Below are 17882 nucleotides of genomic sequence, written 5' to 3'. Positions count from 1 at the left end.
TTGAACATTTTAACATTTTCCAGAACGTGAAGATCTCTAAGTAACAAACATTAAGATACACAAATATTCAAAATCTCACAGTTATATTCCATAACATATTTATCATTATTATTTGGAGGCTAAAACAGAAAGATATCACTAAGCAGAAATATCTTAGGACTTGAACTGGCTCTGACAGGAAACTCAGTCTCAAACCTGATGCTTCAAGAGCCATCTCCTCACTTCCTTCTCCTCACCATGACTAATTTTCCATGTCTGTTTCATTATTATATAAATGTGTTTTTATTAAAAGCTGCTTTAAATATTTTTCAGGGAAAGGCATAGTACAAGTAAATAGAAGTGAACATAGGTTTTTCTTTTTTTATTCACCTAAGCAAAACCATACCCATTCACCCAGTAAGCAATGAATTAAGCTGCTTTCTTAAAATGTGTTATCAATTATGTTCAACATTGGTGGGAAGCTTTGTCTCTAGGCCATTAATTATTGTAATAAGCTGCAGATTCCATTTAAAATACATATAAAGATCACCTTTCCTACACAGCCAACTCTGTGAGGTCTTCTTGCTCTTTTCTTACTATCATGCTTTGCTGTTTTAGTTTCAGGGGGAACAGTTAACTAAATGGTGAATACCTATGTGAGAACTTTGTAAGATGAACAGAACAACAGTAAAATTTATCGTAGATCACTCTTCTTTGTTTTCAGGCTATGAACAGCAAGTCAGTTCCATTGTATAAATGCTGAGGAACCACTGAGTCATGAAAGCTTGCTGTCAGTGTTACCTTTATCTTCCAAACAGTGGCATAAAAAGGATTCTATTGTTCACCTAAAAAATATCTAGTGGTTAAAACCACATATTCTCACTCTTAAGTGGGAGCTGACAATGAGAACACATGGACACAGGGAGGGGAACATCACACACTGGGGTCTGTGAGGGGGCTGGGGGCTAGGGGAGGGATAGCATTAGGAGAAATATCTAATGTAGATGATGGGTTGATGGGTGCAGCAAATCACCATGACACATGCATACCTATGTAACAAACCTGCACGTTGTGCACATGTATCCCAGAACTTAAAAAAAAAAAAATCTAGTGGTTTAAAACCCATGCATGTAATTCAGAAAACATATATATTGTTCTGTCTTCTGGCCCATTTCACTCAAAAACAAAACAAAGATTTTAATACTAACAATTTATTTACCATCCATGAATATAAACCATTAAAATATAAACCATTAAAATGACACCCTCAAACACTACCTCTGACAGATTATAATCTATTCTATGTTGAATCAAATACTTACAAGTTTCCCTCCAGATCTGTGCTCAAATGGGATCATGTTGAACTTCTTTGCTGCTTTTCGATACATGCAATAGTGTTTGACCCAACTGGAACCAAACGGAGCAGGCCCTTCAACAAAAAAACAGCCCTTTATATTTTCCCTCATAAATAAGCAGATTTGCAGAGCTATAAACACATTACTAAAGAGGAAATGTCTAAAACGCAGCAACGAATACAGCTGAATCAATGAAACAAATCAGCAATACTGCTAGTTCTAAGAAGAAGAGGGGAGGCCGGGCACGGTGGCTCACGCCTGTAATCCCAGCACTTTGGGAGGTCGAGGCGGGTGGATCACAAGGTCAGGAAATCGAGACCATCCTGGCTAACACGGTGAAACTCCATCTCTACTAAAAAAAATTAGCCAGGCATAGTGGCAGGCGCCTATAGTCTTAGCTACTCGGGAGGCTGAGGCAGGAGAATGGTGTGAACCCAAGAGGCAGAGCTTGCAGTGAGCCGAGATCGCGCCACTGCGCTCCAGCCTGGGCAACAGAGCGAGACTCCGACTCAAAAAAAAAAAAAAAAAAAAGAGGAAGAAGGAAAATAAGAGATACTTTGAAACAAACCTCTAAGATTTAGCAAGACAGAAGTGATTTAAAGACATACTGTTTAAATAGTTTGCTAGAAAAATCAACAGTTATGTCCTATCTGAAAATCTCTTAATTGTAAGCTCTATTTTTTGTTTGTTTCTAGGTATTAAGAGCTCACAAGGGTTTCAAAAGTTCCATCCCATATATGAGATGGTTTGGGATTTAATTCTGGCCTCTCAAAATGATAGAATTATAGAATCATAGTGCTAAGAAGCATCTAGTCTAAAAATCCACCTAGTGCTTTAAGTCCATGAACAGCATCCTAGTAAGCAGCTGCTCTTACTGATGATTGAAAGCTAGCCTTTAAAAATGAAGTATGGGCCAGGCGCAGTGGCTCACGCCTGTAATCCTAGCACTTTGGGAGGCCAAGGCGGGTGGATCACGAAGTCAGGAGATGGAGACCATCCTGGCCAACGTTGTGAAACCCTGTCTCTACTAAAATACAAAAAATTTAGCCAGGCGTGGTGGCACGCGCCTGTAGTCCCAGCTACTCGGGAGGCTGAGGCAGGTGAATAGGCTGAACCCAGGAGGCAGAGGTTGCAGTGAGCTGAGATCGCGCCACTGCACTCCAGCCTGGGTGACAGAGGCTCTGTCTCCAAAAAAAAAAAAATTAGCTGGGCGTGGTGGTGCGTGCCTGTAATCCCAGCTACTGGGGAGGGTGCGGCAGAAGAATGGCTTGAACCCAGGAGGCGGAAGTTGCAGTGAGATGAGATCGTGCCACTGCCCTCCAGCCTGGGTGACAGAGCAACACTGTCAAAAAATAAAATAAAATAACATTGGTATTGTCTGGCTTAACATTACTGTAATCAGTAAGGTCTAAAAAAATCTTAAGAACCAAGAGAATGGCTGGGCCTCGTGGCTCATGCCTGTAATCTCAGCAAAAAAAAAAAAAAAGTATGAAGAATAAGAAATCTAAGACTCAATAGGAGTGACTGTCCAAGTATGCCCCAGAACACTCTCTGAACCCCTTTTCCACTCTTACTAAGTCAGCAGTACCACCATCAGGGCTCACAGGACAATGCTGTATGTCAGAGGGACCTCTAGCATCTGGAACTTCACATGCCAATAAAAGTCCAACCATAACAAATTAAAGGTTAGGCCCAGCAGAAGTTGACAATTTCTTACTTTACTGAGTCAAGACACTTTTAAAAAAGCAATTAACATCTGTTATCACAGTAATTTCATGTACAAACAAACAAAGTTTCTACACCTAAAAATCAAAAAAGCCCAGGAGGGGAAAAATAACTCATGTAAAAGGAATGCTTTTAGCTAGCTTTAGGAAAAGCTAATTACATTATTTGGGACAGGGGTAATAGATGAAAAGGGTTACCAGACCACTATCAATTTTATCTCAGACCATCATCAGTCCAAAGACCTGAATTTGGGAAACATTGCTTTGTGTTTTAAAGAACCAGCATTTGTACTGTGTTCTATGGTTGACAAAAAAAATATTGCACAGATATTTTATTTAACTCTAAGAAAAAAAAAACTGCCCAGAGAGGATGATACTGTCTATTTAATCCAAAAAAAATTTAAGCTTAGCCCAAATGCCTGGAAAATGACAAAGCCAAACCTTAAATCAGAATCTCTGGCCCCAAATATCAAGGTCTTTCCACTACTTAAGCCACCATTCCCTTCTGACAACCAACAGGGCCTATTCAACCAGCTCTGGGCATACACACTAATGATGCTCTTTCACGCCTGTTCAAGCGCCAAGCAATTTACGGGAGACATTACCAACACAGACTCCAGGTTCAGAATGACAACTCCAGCATTTAGTAGTTGTATGACCTAGGGAACATTATTTACCTCTCAGTGCCTCCATTTTCATTTATAAATGGGCAACAGTAATAGTACCTTATACTTCATAGGGCTGTTTTATGGATAAATGAGACAAGTTGTATACGAATTTAGCACAGTGCTGGGTATACAGTAAATGAGGAAAGAATTTTACCACTACTGTTATGTTGTTTCAGTCCAATTTCTCTCAAAGGCAACAGTGATGAATCTAAAAATTAAAGTTTCCTGTGATTTTCACTTGGGCATATAATACAAATAATTCTAACATTCTCAAGACTATCGAGGTGGTTTTTTGTTTTGTTTTGTTTTTTTCCTTTTTTTGAGACAGAGTCTTGCTTTGTCACCCAGGCTGGAGTGCAGTGGCGCGATCTTGGCTCACTGCAAGCTCCGCCTCCCAGGTTCACGCCATTCTCCTGCCTCAGCCTCCCGAGTAGCTGGGACTACAGGTGCCCGCCACTACGCCCTGCTGATTTTTTGTATTTTTTAGTAGAGACAGGGTTTCACTGTATTAGCCAGGATGGTCTCGATCTCCTGACCTCGTGATCTGCCCACCTCGGCCTCCCAGAGTGCTGGGATTACAAGTGTGAGCCACCGCGCCCAGCCCTATCTTGAGTTTTAATTTATTTCTTTCAAATTCAATTTTAAAAACTGAGATTAAGAAGATAATGTATGAGAAAAATGGAGACTTCTGCCATATCATACAACTGCTCACAAAAGGTGAAGGCTGCGAGATTCCAGATTAAATAAGGGCAAATGGAAAAGGCACAACCATCCTGCTGCCTGCATAGAACATTAACTTCTATTCAAAGCACAGATACCCTGTAACCGTTCCCTGAGTCATGTCTACCACTAAATTTTTAGGTCGGATTGAAAGTCCTGTAAATCAGCCACACTTAAATGAAGTGAAAACTGTAAAACACCCTAATCACAGTTAAGGGTGGAGAGGGAGGGAAATAGTAAAGAGACCCATTTCACATTCTCATCCCTTCTGCTAACTAGCAATTGGGTTGTACAGTTGACGTAGTAAACGTTAAGAACTTAGCTGTTAAAATAAGACCAAATGTTCAAAGTCTGAAAGAAATACAGGTCTTTTAATTTTCAAAATGAGAACAATCTATGCACTGCATATTTGCTAAGACAGCAACAAAGACTAAAAAGCCTACAAGTTAGGATGCCACGTAGGAATATCTTTTATCACCATCTGCAATCTTCCTGATGATTTTAGTAAGAACCAGCTATCTCAGACTGGTGGGAACAAAAATGGTATGAAGGAAGAAGAAAAATACTAATATGTCCCTCTTGACCTTAAGATGACAGAGAGGCAGGGTTATGGGAGGGAGAGGACGTATACGTGTGTATGAATGAATGTGTGTGCCTGTGTGCATTGGTGATGAGGGTAGAGGTGAGGGGGAAGGAGAAAAAACATCATACCCTCGTAACTCTGGCTCATTTTCAGCCTTACACCAAATTCTGACTCTCTTACAAGCATGTTCCTGGGGTGCACACAGTGTAAAACAGAAGCTAGTGGGGTGTCTGAAGAACAGGGTGCTCACAGCCACTCCTAACCTCACAGTACCCCCTCTCTCCAGGGCTGGAATGTGTTTCTCCTAAACATGAAATATACACCCATTAGGTGATAGGAGCAGGGAGAGAAAGAGGTAGGAATAATTGCCCAAAATGTCACAGTAATGGCAAGAATAGCAGAGTTTTCAATAATTTGCATTTTTAAGCAGCCACGCAGCCACTGCTGGAGGGCCTCTTACTTTTTTCCTGGACATACAGGTAGCCTTCGGCTGTAAACTGACTTGCTCGTTTGTGGTCCTTGGGATTCTGTCTGATTTTGTTCATGAGCTCTTCCACTTCTGACCTTGTTCCTTCAAATCGATTCCGTGTCTGAAATGGATTAAAAAACACACATAAATGTTAAGTTCTCATATGAGTTTTCTCATGAACATTTTAAAGTCTCTGCATAAATGTAATTACATTTTTTAACTCTAAATAACTTTTTTATAAATTTCTCAAAATACCCCCATTCTTTCCAGTGTGCCTCCTGAGATTCATGTGCAAAGAAAAAAAAATAGCAGTAAAATAGCTACCAGAGGAGTATAAGCCAAGGTTACTACAGGTTACTTTGGAGGCTTTCTAACACCATTAATAATTTTACTATTCAACATAAAAATTCCTGCCTTCAGGTCTCACACTATTACTAAATTTTAGGTTTAAAACATAAGTTAGGTTTTAATATAGCTACCTGAGAAGAATTTCCTTTGCAACAACCAATCTGACTCAATCAATCTGTTTTGTTACTGTTACATTAGCAGTCTGTAAATACTCAGAATCTGAAAAAGTTTAATTCTTCTTTGCAAACTAATAAATACAAGTGTCAGTTTTTCCAGGTCATGGCAATTGCACTTGAAAATGACATTTCTTCCCTGAAGACAGAAGGGGGAAAAAAAATCTCACCTACACAAATAATGTCTTTGATATCTGAAGAGACAAATCACATTTCTGAAACCCAGGACACTTGGTGTGCCAATATCTGTCAAACGGCTACACCGAAAACATATATACAAGGTGAAGTGACAGAATTAGCAAGGCAATTGTGACGAGTCAGCACCACCGTGTTCCTGGACACTTCTTTCATCCAGGCTCAAAAATAATTGTATTAATACCAAAAAACTGCTGATGTGAAACTGTGGAGGAACTGAGACAGAAAATTATTATTGAAATTTCTCCTCTTTCCTCCCTACAATAAAAGGGGCTGCCAAGGGTCCTAAGCGTGGCAAAATGTTAGAATGGCACATCTTTTTTGTAAAGGGATGGAGAGTCTGATAAATGTAGATTGTAAAAGGGAAAACCTGTCTGCAGAGGTTTGTTGTTTTTTTTTAAACACAAACTAAGAGCTGCGAGAAATATCAGCTTATGTCCTGTAAGAAAGTGTAAGCCCGCAAAGAAAGTAGAACTCAGTTGTTGACGGCTAGGTTCCCTCTCGCCTTCCATTTCTCCAGGTTTTCTTATCCCCCCTTTTTTTTTTTTTTAAAGACAGGGTCTCACTCTGTCTCCCAGGCTGGAGTACAGTGGCATGATAATACCTCATCACAGCCTCAACCTCCTGAACTCAAGTCATCCTCTCACCTCAGCCTCCAGAGGAACTGGGACTACAGGCGCACACCACTACACCAGGCCAAGAGTGTGTGTGTGTGTGTGTGTGTGTGTGTGTGTGTGTGTGTGTTTTGTTTTTTGTTTTTTTGTAGAGACAGGGGTCTCATTATGGGGCCCAGGCTGGTCTCGAACTCCTGGGCTCAAGCAATCTACCCGCTTCAGCCTCCCACACTGTTGGGATTATAAGCATGAGCCACCATCCCCCACCCTTATCCCCATCTTTGTAATAATTTCACCCTGACTTTATTCCCCTCCTTGGTCATTTTGCTGAGATTCCTTCCAACCCTCATCAACCCTCATTTCCCCCCATGTGTGTATAATATATATACACATATGCATATATGTGCATGCCATACATGTATGGATGCTATCACAGGTGTGAACATGTACACACACTTCTATTTAAGCCAATAATGCTATTATTTATGTTCATGCTCAAATTGCCCTAGATTTGAGCAGCAGGAGGTCCCTTCGAACTGGCTTCTGTCTTTTGACTGGTCCCCTTGATTCTTCAACCAGTTCCTTACCTTCTGGTCCAATAAGGTACCCTAGGCTCATCTTATACTTTCCCTGCGCCAGTCCTGGAAAGGAGCTCTTGTTCTTTTTAGTGGAGGGTATTTAATATTTGGAAACCAAGATCTGGGCACAGTGTGCTCACAGCTAAGGACTTCTCAGCAGACAGCCTTAGGAAATAGATGTACATACAGTTCAGCCTTAACACAGGCTTGAACTTTGTGGATCTACTTACACATGGATTTTCCTCCCCATCTACAACTCCTGCGACAAGATCTGGGCACAGTGTGCTCACTTCTAAGTCTTCTCAGCAGACAGCCTTAGGAAGCAGATGTACATACAGCTGAGCCTTAACACAGGCTTGAACTTTGTGGATCTACTTATACATGGATTTTCCTCCCCATCTACAACTCCTGTGACAGCAACTCTTCCTCCTCAGCCTACTCATTATGAAGACACACATGAAGGCCTTTATGATGATCCACTTCCACTTAAAGTATATTTTCTCTTCCTGATGATTTTTGTAATAACATTTTCTTTTCTCTAGCTTACTTCATTGTAAGAACACAGTATATCATACATAGAACACACAAAATGTGTGGTAATCAGCTATTTCTGTTATGGGTGAGGCTTCTGATCAACAGTAGGCGATTAGTAGTCAAATTTGGGGGAAGTCAAAAGTTACACGCAGACATCCAATAGCGCAGGGGTGCTAACCCCAACATAGTTCAAGGGTCAACTGTATACACAGAGCACACGTGTTTATATAAACACACAATCACTACTTCTTTATCTACCTATATATTTGAAAACCCATGACTTCCTACCAAGAAATCTAATTCTACTCCAGTTCTTCAGGTTTCTTTCCAGCCTCTCTCCTTCCAAATTTGTGAATTTTTTCCCAGACAGTAAGAAGCCTGGTTCTCATTCTCAACATGTCTGCTTACGTGCTCACTTAACATCTCTGCTCAGCATAAGCAATCTCCCAAATGCCCCAGCAGCCACCTCTGTCTCATCACCACTCCACCATCCCTGCCGCAGACGCCTCCATGAGGTCCCCCTCTCCCTCACCACCCAACTTCCTCAGAGGTTTATTTTCTGCACTGGGAATGGAAGGCTTTTTTTTTTTTTTTTTTTTTGACCGAGTCTCACTCTGTTGGTCAGGCTGGAGTAAAGTGACACAATCCCAGTTCACTGCAGCCTCGACCTCCCAGGCTCAAATGATCCTCCCACCTCAGCCTCCCGAGTACAGGGACTACTCACATGTGCCACCACCTCCAGCTAATTTTTCTCTATTTTTTGTGGAGACAGGGTCTCACTACATTGCCCAGGCTGGTCCTGAACTCTGGGGCTCAAGTGATCCTCCCGCCTCAATGTCCCAAAGTGCTGGGATTATAGGCGTGAGCCACCATCCCCAGCCACTATTTTTTAAATGTACCATTTTTAGGTAAATTATGAATTGAAAACTTTGCATAAAATCAATAGAATGGCTAAAACCTTGCAATTTCCAATTATAAGTTCCAAGTACATATGAAGGCATCTTCTAATTACAATAATGTTAGACCCCAAACGTTACAATAGGTAACATTTGAGCATTTACATGGTTCTTTAATCCTCACAATAATCTATACGGTAGGACACTGTCTAATGCTATCTTTCCAATAAAAGATCACTGCTGCCTTGTTTTCTTTACATCCTTTAGTAATTAAACATTTCCAAATAAACTAGCTTTAAATTAAGCCTTATTATTTTAGTATTTTAAATCTGATTGAAAGAGAAAACATCTTTAAAAAACTTTTTTCTGATTATAGAAACTAAACCATATCATTGTAAAATAGAGAGACGGACACGAATAGTCCTACTTGGGGGGCAAAAACAAAAGGGATAAGTAAGACTAAAGCTAACCACAAGCCCACCCCTCAAGTAACTGCTGTTATATTTTGATGTGGCCATTTCTAATCTCTTTTAAAAACACACACACGGCCGGACGTGGTGGCTCACACCTATAATCCCAGCACTTTGGGAGGCCGAGGTGGGCGGATCACGAGATCAGGAGATCGAGACCATCCTGGCTAACACGGTGAAACCCCGTCTCTACTAAAAATACAAAAATTAGCCGGGCACGGTGGCGGGCACCTGTAGTCCCAGCTACTCGGGAGGCTGAGGCAGGAGAATGGCGTGAACCCAGGAGGCGGAGCTTACAGTGAGCCGAGACTGGGCCACAGCACTCCAGCCTGGGCAACAGAGCAAGACTCCATCTCAAACACACACACACACACACACACACACACACACACACACACACACACAGTCTGTAGTTTTGGTATTCTACTTTCCTTAGAACATTGCGACAAAAATATTTTGCCCATATTCTTAAATACTTCCTACCCATTCTTGTTATCTTCTAGGGACTCTTTACAAATCCTAAAATTTTGCACACTGTATTTCCTTCCAGGAAGAATTCTATTCTAGTCTCTTCTTCCCCACATTCTTCGGGAGACAGAAATCACAAAAGTGCAAAATTAGTTTCTTAAAATATTCTTTAAATTTGAGGCAATTTCCAAATTTCTTCTGGAAAACCCATTTCCTAAAAGCCATCTTGCTGCTTTCTTGATTTCCATTTATTACTCTAGATTATAGAAAATGAAGACTCAATTTCTCAAAAAAAAAAAAAAAGTCTAGCCACTTTTACAATACAATAGGTATTATCAGATGGGGAAAAATAGGTTTTCGCTTTTAAATACCTTTTACCTTTTTCTGATTATAAAGTTTTGCTTTTTTACTAAAATTAAATACTTAAAAGATGACCAAAATATTTATGATGTTATAATGCAGAGGCAGTTAACATTTGATTATGTTTCCTAAAATACATATATGCGGCCGGGCGCGGTGGCTCACGCCTGTAATCCCAACACTTTGGGAGGCCAAGGCAGGCAGATCACGAGGTCAGGAGATCAAGACCATCCTGACTAACACGGTGAATCGCCGTCTCTATCAAAAAATACAAAAAAATTAGCCGGGCATGGTGGCAGGTGGGACTACAGGCAGAAGGATGGCATGAACTAGGACTACAGGCAGGAGGATGGCATGAACCCGGGAGGCGGAGCTTGCAGTGAGCCGAGATTGATTGGGCCGCTGCACTCCAGCCTGGGTGACAGGGCGAGACTCCCTCTCAAACAAACAAATAAATGAAACACACACACACACACACACACACACACACACACACACACACACACAAACTGGGACTTTTTTCAACAATATGTTGTTTTATATACCCAGCATTTTCTCTTTATTATAATAAAAAACTGACATCAAGGAATGAGATGAATGGCCAAGAAATGAGCAAATTACAACATCACTGAGGTATAGCAGATGATACAGAATGAGTGACCTGCTTTTCATAAGTGCTTGTGTTTCTGATAAAAAATTAGCTAAAAGCTAAAATTTTGAAGAACAAAGACGCCACCTAGATCAGGTGTTCTCAATACTGAAGGTGACGCAGAGAGAAACTCTGAGTTGTAAGAGTGTTTATTAAGAAACAGCCAAATAAAATCAAGAGAGGAATATTTAGAGAAAAAGTTGAGAATGTAGGGAGATTTACTGATGACCACATCCTTAAGTGACAGAGAATACAAAAAAGGCTTTTTTTTTTTCAATAAACTGTCATTTCCCCATTTCTCTACAGAAAATGATCACTGTTGTCAATTGTGTAAGTTCTCAATATATTAAGGATTCCAATCAGGTCATTTTGTGAAACATTTCAAATGATAGCTTAGCTTCAAGGTTTGCTCATAAGATTTCCAGACAGAATATTGCTCATTCCCATCTAAATATTTAATGCCTCTGAAAGTTTTTTGGTTTATATAAGGTAAACAGACGCCCCCCCAACAGGTGTGTTATAAACACACTTCCACAAATAAACGAGCCGTGCAAGGAGTTTCACTCAACATCCCAAGAGACTGATGTTTCCCCACAGCTCACCCCAGAGTCTGAGGCAGAGAGCTGGCTTCAGGGCATTCACCTATGCAGTCCACAGGGCCCTGCGCTCAGAAGAGCTTCTGCTTGCTTTAATGATCAAATGCCTCTGATCTGAAACTCTTAATTATCTCTAAATAAGGGGCACTATCTTCTTCATTTTACCTTGATTCTAGAAGTTGTATATACAGTCCTGCCTGAAGGTTCTCATTCTGGCCAGCCCTGCACTTAACAGATGAGGTCCAGACAGACAAGGTGAATTTCCACAGATTATATAGCCAGTAAGCAGAGGGGAAAACATAAGTTATAATCTCAAGCAGGGGTCCCCAACCCCCAGGCTGCCGACAGGTACCGGTCCATGGCCTGTTAGGAACCGGGTCACATGGCAGGAGGTGAGCGGCAGGTGAGCCTGAGTCCACCTTCTGTCAGATCCGCGGTGGCATCAGATTCTCATAGGAGCATGAACCGTATTGTGAACTGCGCACGTGGATCTAGATTGTGCAGTCCTTATGAGAATCTAATGCCTGATGACCTGAGGTGGAAAAGTTTCATCACGAAACCATCCCCTACCTTCTCCCACCCCCACTGCATCTATAGAATTGTCTTCCTTAAAACCAGTCCCCGGTGCCAAAAAGGTTGGGGACCACTTACGTGAACTATCTACTGTTCTTTTTACATAACTGTTTTCTGCTGCCTGCAAAAATATTCTGAATAATCTCAACATCAGCCAGGCATGGTGGCTCACCCCCGTAATGCCAGGATCTTGGGAGGCTGAGGAAGGAGGATCACTTGAACCCTGAAGTTTGAGCAGCCTGGGCAACACAATGAGATGCCATCTCTACCAAAAAGAAAAAAAATTAGCTGGGTGTGCTGGCATGCACCTGCAGTCCCAGCTACTCAGGAGGCTGAGGCAGGAGGAGTACTTGAGCCTAGGAGGTTGAGGCTGCAGTGAGCAGTGGTTGTGCCACTGCACTTCAGCCTCAGCGACAGAGTGACACCCTGTCTCAAAAAAAAAAACAAAAAAAACTCAACAACATTAGACTCAATATTCTACTACCTGCAGGGACAATTTTGGGGTGACTAGAATGAATCCACACATACCCATTTTGGATTTTTAAGTTTTGTCACATTATAGTCATACCACATATTTTATAACTGTTTTCACAAATTGTGAGACCACAGCAGCAGAAAAAGAATCTACTCCAGAACTCTATCATTAGCCCAGCTGAATGTCCAAACAATCCTCAAATACAAGTTGACACATAAATTATAAAAATAAGGTTTTATCAGCTACACTCCTTAGTATAAGGAACTGTACATAAAAAAAAAAAAAAGTTAGAAACAAAATCTACACAAAAGGTATTCACTCTCAACTTTTTTTTTTTTTTTTTTTTTTTGAGACAGAGTCTCACTCTGTCGCCCAGGCTGGAGTGCAGTGGCACGGTCTCGGATCACTGCAACCTCCACCTCCCGGATTCAAGCAATTCTCCTGCCTCAGCCTCCCGAGTAACTGGGATTACAGGCGCACTCCACCACACCCAGCTAATGTTTGTATTTTTAGTGGAGACAGGGTTTCACCATGTTGGCCAGCATGGTCTCAATCTCTTGACCTCGCGATCTGCCCGCCTAGGCCTCCCAAAGTGCTGGGATTACAGGCATGAACCACTGTGCCCGGCCCACTCTCAACTTCTAATTGTGAAAGAAATGAAGAGCAGGCAACAACCACAGCTTCCCATCCATCTACCTGTGTGTCTTTCACTATGTGCTGTGAGTCTGTCACAAAGCTATCTCACTACATTCCTAATGAGACCTCAAATTACACTCAACATACCCTGACCAGCTTGTCAGTGAGGACGCTTCCAGGATCAACTAGCACTGAGAGGAAAAACATATACCACCTGATCAAAATGACATATAGTGTACTGCTTAATAACATTCTCCTAAATCTCTTTATCCGAGACCTGGCAGAAAGCACACATTTTCCAAAGGAAAATATTCAAGACCAATAGCAACTGTAAACACCAATGCATTAGTAAATATGCATAAAATGTAGGGAAGAAATTCTACTCAAATGATAAGCCTATCTGGGAACAAAAATCAAGATGCCCAGTTAAGTAGTGCATTATAAATTCAATGCCTTAAAGTGGAGTGCTCTTTTGTCTGTAGCAGACATAGCTGATTTAGAGTTAACATAACAAAGCTTATCCTTAGAATTGACCCAGAAACTGCAGGAAAAGCCGCCAGGTGGCAGAATTTCCCAAGCCTCAACCAACTGTAGAGCAGTTGGTCACACCAAGAGTTGACCAGCAGGTGGCAGCATACCCTCAGTTTCTCAGTACAAACAGATCAGCATTGTCTTCATTTAATTAAGGCTTTTCATACAACACACAAATGAAAAATACTTTTCAAACATCTTTTTATAAAGAAAGCTTTCACTTCCTTACATTCTGAATGTTGATCTGTAGTTCCATTTTGTAGTGATTGAAGTCTTTGGCAAGTTCATGGCCCTGATGATAGAAGGTAAACATCCCCTGAAAAAATGACAGCATCTAAGACACAGGAAGAAAAGAGATATTAGCACAAAAAAACTCAGGAGAAAAAAAGAATCATATAAACAACCAAGTGTTCCCCCCGCCATCTCACTGTTATTCCACTGAAATAAACTGATTAAAGGGAAGTCACTAATATTCAAGTAAACACAAGTACATATTATCTATTAATTGGTCTTTATAGAAAATGATGCTTTTTTCCCTTAAATATCACAGCCATTAGACAGCTTATATGGCATGTTCTGCAGGAAAAATTGAATTATTAAGTCATCCATTTGTCCTCTTTAGTCAGGAGAATCCCAATATTTGTAATTGAAATCTTATCACTATAGGTTGACACAATCTTTAAGAAAGTAAAATCACAGAATCAAAGAGCTCCAGGCTCTCCCCAGCCACATCCAGCAGACTGCAACCCCTGTGTTTTGTTGACAAAGATATTCCATGACTTGCCAGGGGCAGCCTCAAACCCGTAATTAAACCTTTACTTTCCTACCAACTCCCAACCTGTCTCTGAATTAGAGGGCTGTTGCCTCTGCTCCACATGTAAGTCAATAAATCTAGAAGTAAAAAGAAGTGATCTGGGGAGACAGTTAAGGAAATCTTGAGATTCATTTTCTTCCAAATGCCACACCGTGGGTGGTTAGGAATCTGGGGCTCTGACACCCAGCAGGCTCCATTCCCAACGTCAGCCATGACCTGTTATGGGACCTTAGGCAAATTACTCAGCCTTTCTCTACTTCTATTTCCTTATCTCCTCATTGAGTTATAGTGTGGAATAATGAGTTCGGTACAACACTTAGAACAATGGCTTGAACAGAGACTGAGCATTATAAATGCCCAATAAAAGCAGGCCATTATTATTATTTCACATTAAAAAGAAAGCTTTGAGGAGGTTGAGTTTTTCTCTAATGGTTTAGGTTAATGACTATCGCTCCAACTAAACCATAGCTCCACAAATGCTCATTTTTAATCATTACTTGGTTATTCTTGTTTCTATAAACCATACTCACAATGAGTAAATTGTATACTGTGTGAATATTATCTTAATAAAGCTGTTTAAGAAAAAGAAACCATTCAATAAGTCGATATTAAAATTAAAATGAATCCTGAGAATGAGATCCAGTGTTTTTTTGCTGAAATCCACATGAAATATCCTTTACATTATGATATATACATTCATGTGCATACATCTTCATATATAAACAACTGAAGCTACTAGAAAACATCTATATAATCACAAACAAAAATCATGTGTTTCTAATATAAGTAAAAAGAAATGTTAGAGTAACTCACAAAATTGTCTCAAATGTTCCATATCCTGCTTCTAAACTTAGATTGCCATAAGCATTGTGAATTGTGTTTGAAGTCATGTTACAAACGATTGTTTAAAGTACCAAAGTTTGAACCGGTATAAACAACCCATGTTCACTCATTCTAGTATAAATTATTTCAGAGAAATTTTTAAAAGATAGAGCTATAGGCTAAGGTGGCAGAAATTGCACATGGTTGCCTTCCTTGAGATCATGTAGCAATGGGAATATTACGTGTATTATCAGTGCAAATACAGCTGAGAACCACTGATTTAGAGGCAATTCCTTGACTTCATGGCTATCTGTGTCTGCCCTTTTTAATATGTCTCTTTCATGTTTATGCACTATGGCCTCTAGTAACTATAAACCATAAATCAGATCTAGGAAAATAAATACTTATCTTACATTGCAAAAATCCACCAGCAAACAACTTGGCAATACTCACAGGTTCCACAAACTCAAACTTCTTTCTTTCTTGGATTTCCTGCAGCTTACACACATACTCGAGAGACAGTTCATAGAAGTGTTGCCGGTTCTGCTCTACTTGGATATCTGCCTATGTTAAAATCACAGAGGTTAGTCAAACTGGAGATGGTGAAAAGTGAAACGCTACATCAGAGGTCATCACACTGTGGTCCATGGGCCAAAATACGGTGTGCTGCCTGATTTTGTAAATAAAGTATTGCAACACAGGTACGACAATTCATTTATGTATTGTCTGCAGCTACTTTCCTGCTGCAACAGCAGAATTGAGCAGGTGCAACAGGAACTTTATGGTCCACAGAAGTCTAAAATATTTACTATCAGTTTCTTTGCAGAAAAAGCTTGTGACTCCTACTCTGTTTGTTGAAGTTGACCCCCAAGAACTGAAGATCAAAGGGACTTCTCTTCTTGAAAAACTCACCCCAACCACAACTGATGCCCCAAGGCTGAACCACATGCAATCACAATCAACAAACATTTCGATGAACAAATCCTCTAGGAATAAAGTCTGCCTGAGAAAGGGCCCAGCACCTCAGCGCTCAGGGAGTGATGGCGGCAAGTGAGAAGGAGCCAGCCATGGCAGCATCTCAAGAACCCGGCTCTCAAAGGCGGGCCAGGGCTGGACGCCCATCTGCGGCCCTCAGAACGTCTGATCCCCTGGGAGAGAAGGGGGCACCAGCTGGTCAGGACGCTATTCCAAAAAAAGCTTCCAGCTTAGCTTGCCTAACTAGAAAGGAACTGGGAGAAGAGCAGGACTCCACAGAGAATAGTGGAGAGAGAACTCATGTCCAAGAAACCATTCTTACTAGGTATCATGTGATATTTTTCCTAACTTAGCTAATTTTACTCTTAAAAATATTTATCTGGGCATTTCTCCAGAGAGGATATACAAAAGGCCAATAAGCATGTGAAAAGACACTCAACATCGCTCATCATTAGGATGCAAATCAAACTCACAAGGAGATGCCACCTCACACTCACTAGGGTGGCTACTGTACAAAAAAGAAAAGTAGTGGTGTTGGTGAGGATGTCAAGAAACTGAAACCCTTGTGCATCATTAGTGGGAATGCAAGATGGTACAAGCACTGTGAAAAATAGTGCTTTAAGTAAAATAATATTGAAACATAACGTGTTACTAAGCTAACATGAACATTTCTACCTAACACTCCTCAAAATCATATTTTTGTGGCTTCATTAACCAGAATTCAATAGTTCAGCCACCAGCAGTTAACAGGCACAACTCCCAGCAAAAAATTAAAATAAATTTTTCCCTCAAATGAAAAATAGTATTACCACATGACCCAGCAATTCTACAGCTGGGCATATACCCAAAAGAACTGAAAGCAGAGACTCGAACAGATATGTGTACACCCCTGTTCATAGCAGCAGGGGGCAAAGTGACCCCAATGCCCATGGATGGATGGATGAGTAAATAAAATGTAGCCAATCCATATGTATAACAGAATATTATTCAGCCTTAGACAGGAAGGAAATTCTGATACATACTACAACATGGATAAACCTTGAGGACATCAGGCTAAGTGAAATAAACTAGTCACAAAGGGACAGATACTATATGATCCCACTCACATGAGACACCTAGAGTAGTTAAATTCATAGAAACTGAAAGCAGAACGACGGCTGCCAGGAGCTGGAGCAGGGGAGAATGGAGAGTTATTGTTAATAGGTACAGAGCTGCAGTCTGGGAAGATTTTTTAAAAAGCCCTGGAGATGCATGGTGGTGACAGTTGCAAAACAATGTGAATGTACTTAATACCACTGGGCCATAGACTTTAAAATAAAATCATACATTTTATTGAAATTTTATTCACGTTTTATAACCAAAAATGTGTTGTTTTTGAAAAGCATTTAACACATTTGAAACACATTTCAAAATGTAATAAAAACCATTTCAGCAAATACTTTAATATATATTACTAAGCTAAAATGAGAATTTCTACCTAACACTCATCTGAATCATATTTTTGTGCCTCCAATAACCAGAGTTTGATAGTTCAGCCATCAGCAGTTAGTTGGCACATCTCCCAGCAAAAACACTGTAATTTTGTTGACTATTTAATAAAGACATAAGAAGGGTGATTTCCTCATTTGTTATTACTGCAAAGGCTCTTGAAGAAATTTATACCAGCATCAGATTTAT

At 40.4% G+C, this 17882-nt stretch overlaps 1 protein-coding gene across 6 annotated transcripts in view, besides 4 other annotated features; it reads right to left on the bottom strand.

Annotated features, from left to right (window-relative positions):
• ARHGAP10 (Rho GTPase activating protein 10) overlaps positions 1–17882 on the bottom strand; it is a 340689-nt gene that overhangs the window by 192137 nt on the left and 130670 nt on the right. For all 6 annotated transcript variants that reach the window (XR_001741324.2, NM_024605.4, XM_005263215.4 and 3 more), the window contains 4 exons: positions 15684–15794; positions 13824–13928; positions 5490–5619; positions 1302–1408 (listed from right to left, as the gene is read on the bottom strand). Coding sequence is in view for 5 of the 6 variants with exons in the window: in NM_024605.4 (NP_078881.3) it covers positions 1302–1408; positions 5490–5619; positions 13824–13928; positions 15684–15794 (453 nt within the window). In the remaining variant the exon portion in view is untranslated. The remainder of the gene's footprint in view (positions 1–1301; positions 1409–5489; positions 5620–13823; positions 13929–15683; positions 15795–17882) is intronic.
• Positions 12488–13164: an enhancer, noted in NCBI's record as "H3K27ac hESC enhancer chr4:148788627-148789303 (GRCh37/hg19 assembly coordinates)". NCBI's record gives its function as "activates a minimal SCP1, AML or CMV promoter by ChIP-STARR-seq in naive H9 embryonic stem cells {active_cell/tissue: H9 hESC(naive)}" and the evidence as "EXISTENCE:reporter gene assay evidence [ECO:0000049][PMID:30033119]".
• Positions 13165–13842: an enhancer, noted in NCBI's record as "OCT4-NANOG-H3K27ac hESC enhancer chr4:148787949-148788626 (GRCh37/hg19 assembly coordinates)". NCBI's record gives its function as "activates a minimal SCP1, AML or CMV promoter by ChIP-STARR-seq in naive H9 embryonic stem cells {active_cell/tissue: H9 hESC(naive)}" and the evidence as "EXISTENCE:reporter gene assay evidence [ECO:0000049][PMID:30033119]".
• Positions 13511–13735: a silencer, noted in NCBI's record as "fragment chr4:148788056-148788280 (GRCh37/hg19 assembly coordinates)". NCBI's record gives its function as "represses an EF-1alpha promoter that drives an FKBP-Casp9 reporter gene in an ReSE screen in HepG2 liver carcinoma cells {active_cell/tissue: HepG2}" and the evidence as "EXISTENCE:reporter gene assay evidence [ECO:0000049][PMID:32094911]".
• Positions 13663–13712: a silencer, noted in NCBI's record as "silent region_15743". NCBI's record gives its function as "represses an Ori minimal core promoter by ATAC-STARR-seq in GM12878 lymphoblastoid cells {active_cell/tissue: GM12878}" and the evidence as "EXISTENCE:reporter gene assay evidence [ECO:0000049][PMID:35858748]".

The sequence above is a fragment of the Homo sapiens genome, chromosome 4, assembly GCF_000001405.40.
Source record: "Homo sapiens chromosome 4, GRCh38.p14 Primary Assembly".
Taxonomy (NCBI): Eukaryota; Metazoa; Chordata; class Mammalia; order Primates; family Hominidae; genus Homo; species Homo sapiens.
Note: the sequence above shows the minus strand (reverse complement) of the source record. Positions and strands in the feature narration are given on the sequence as shown.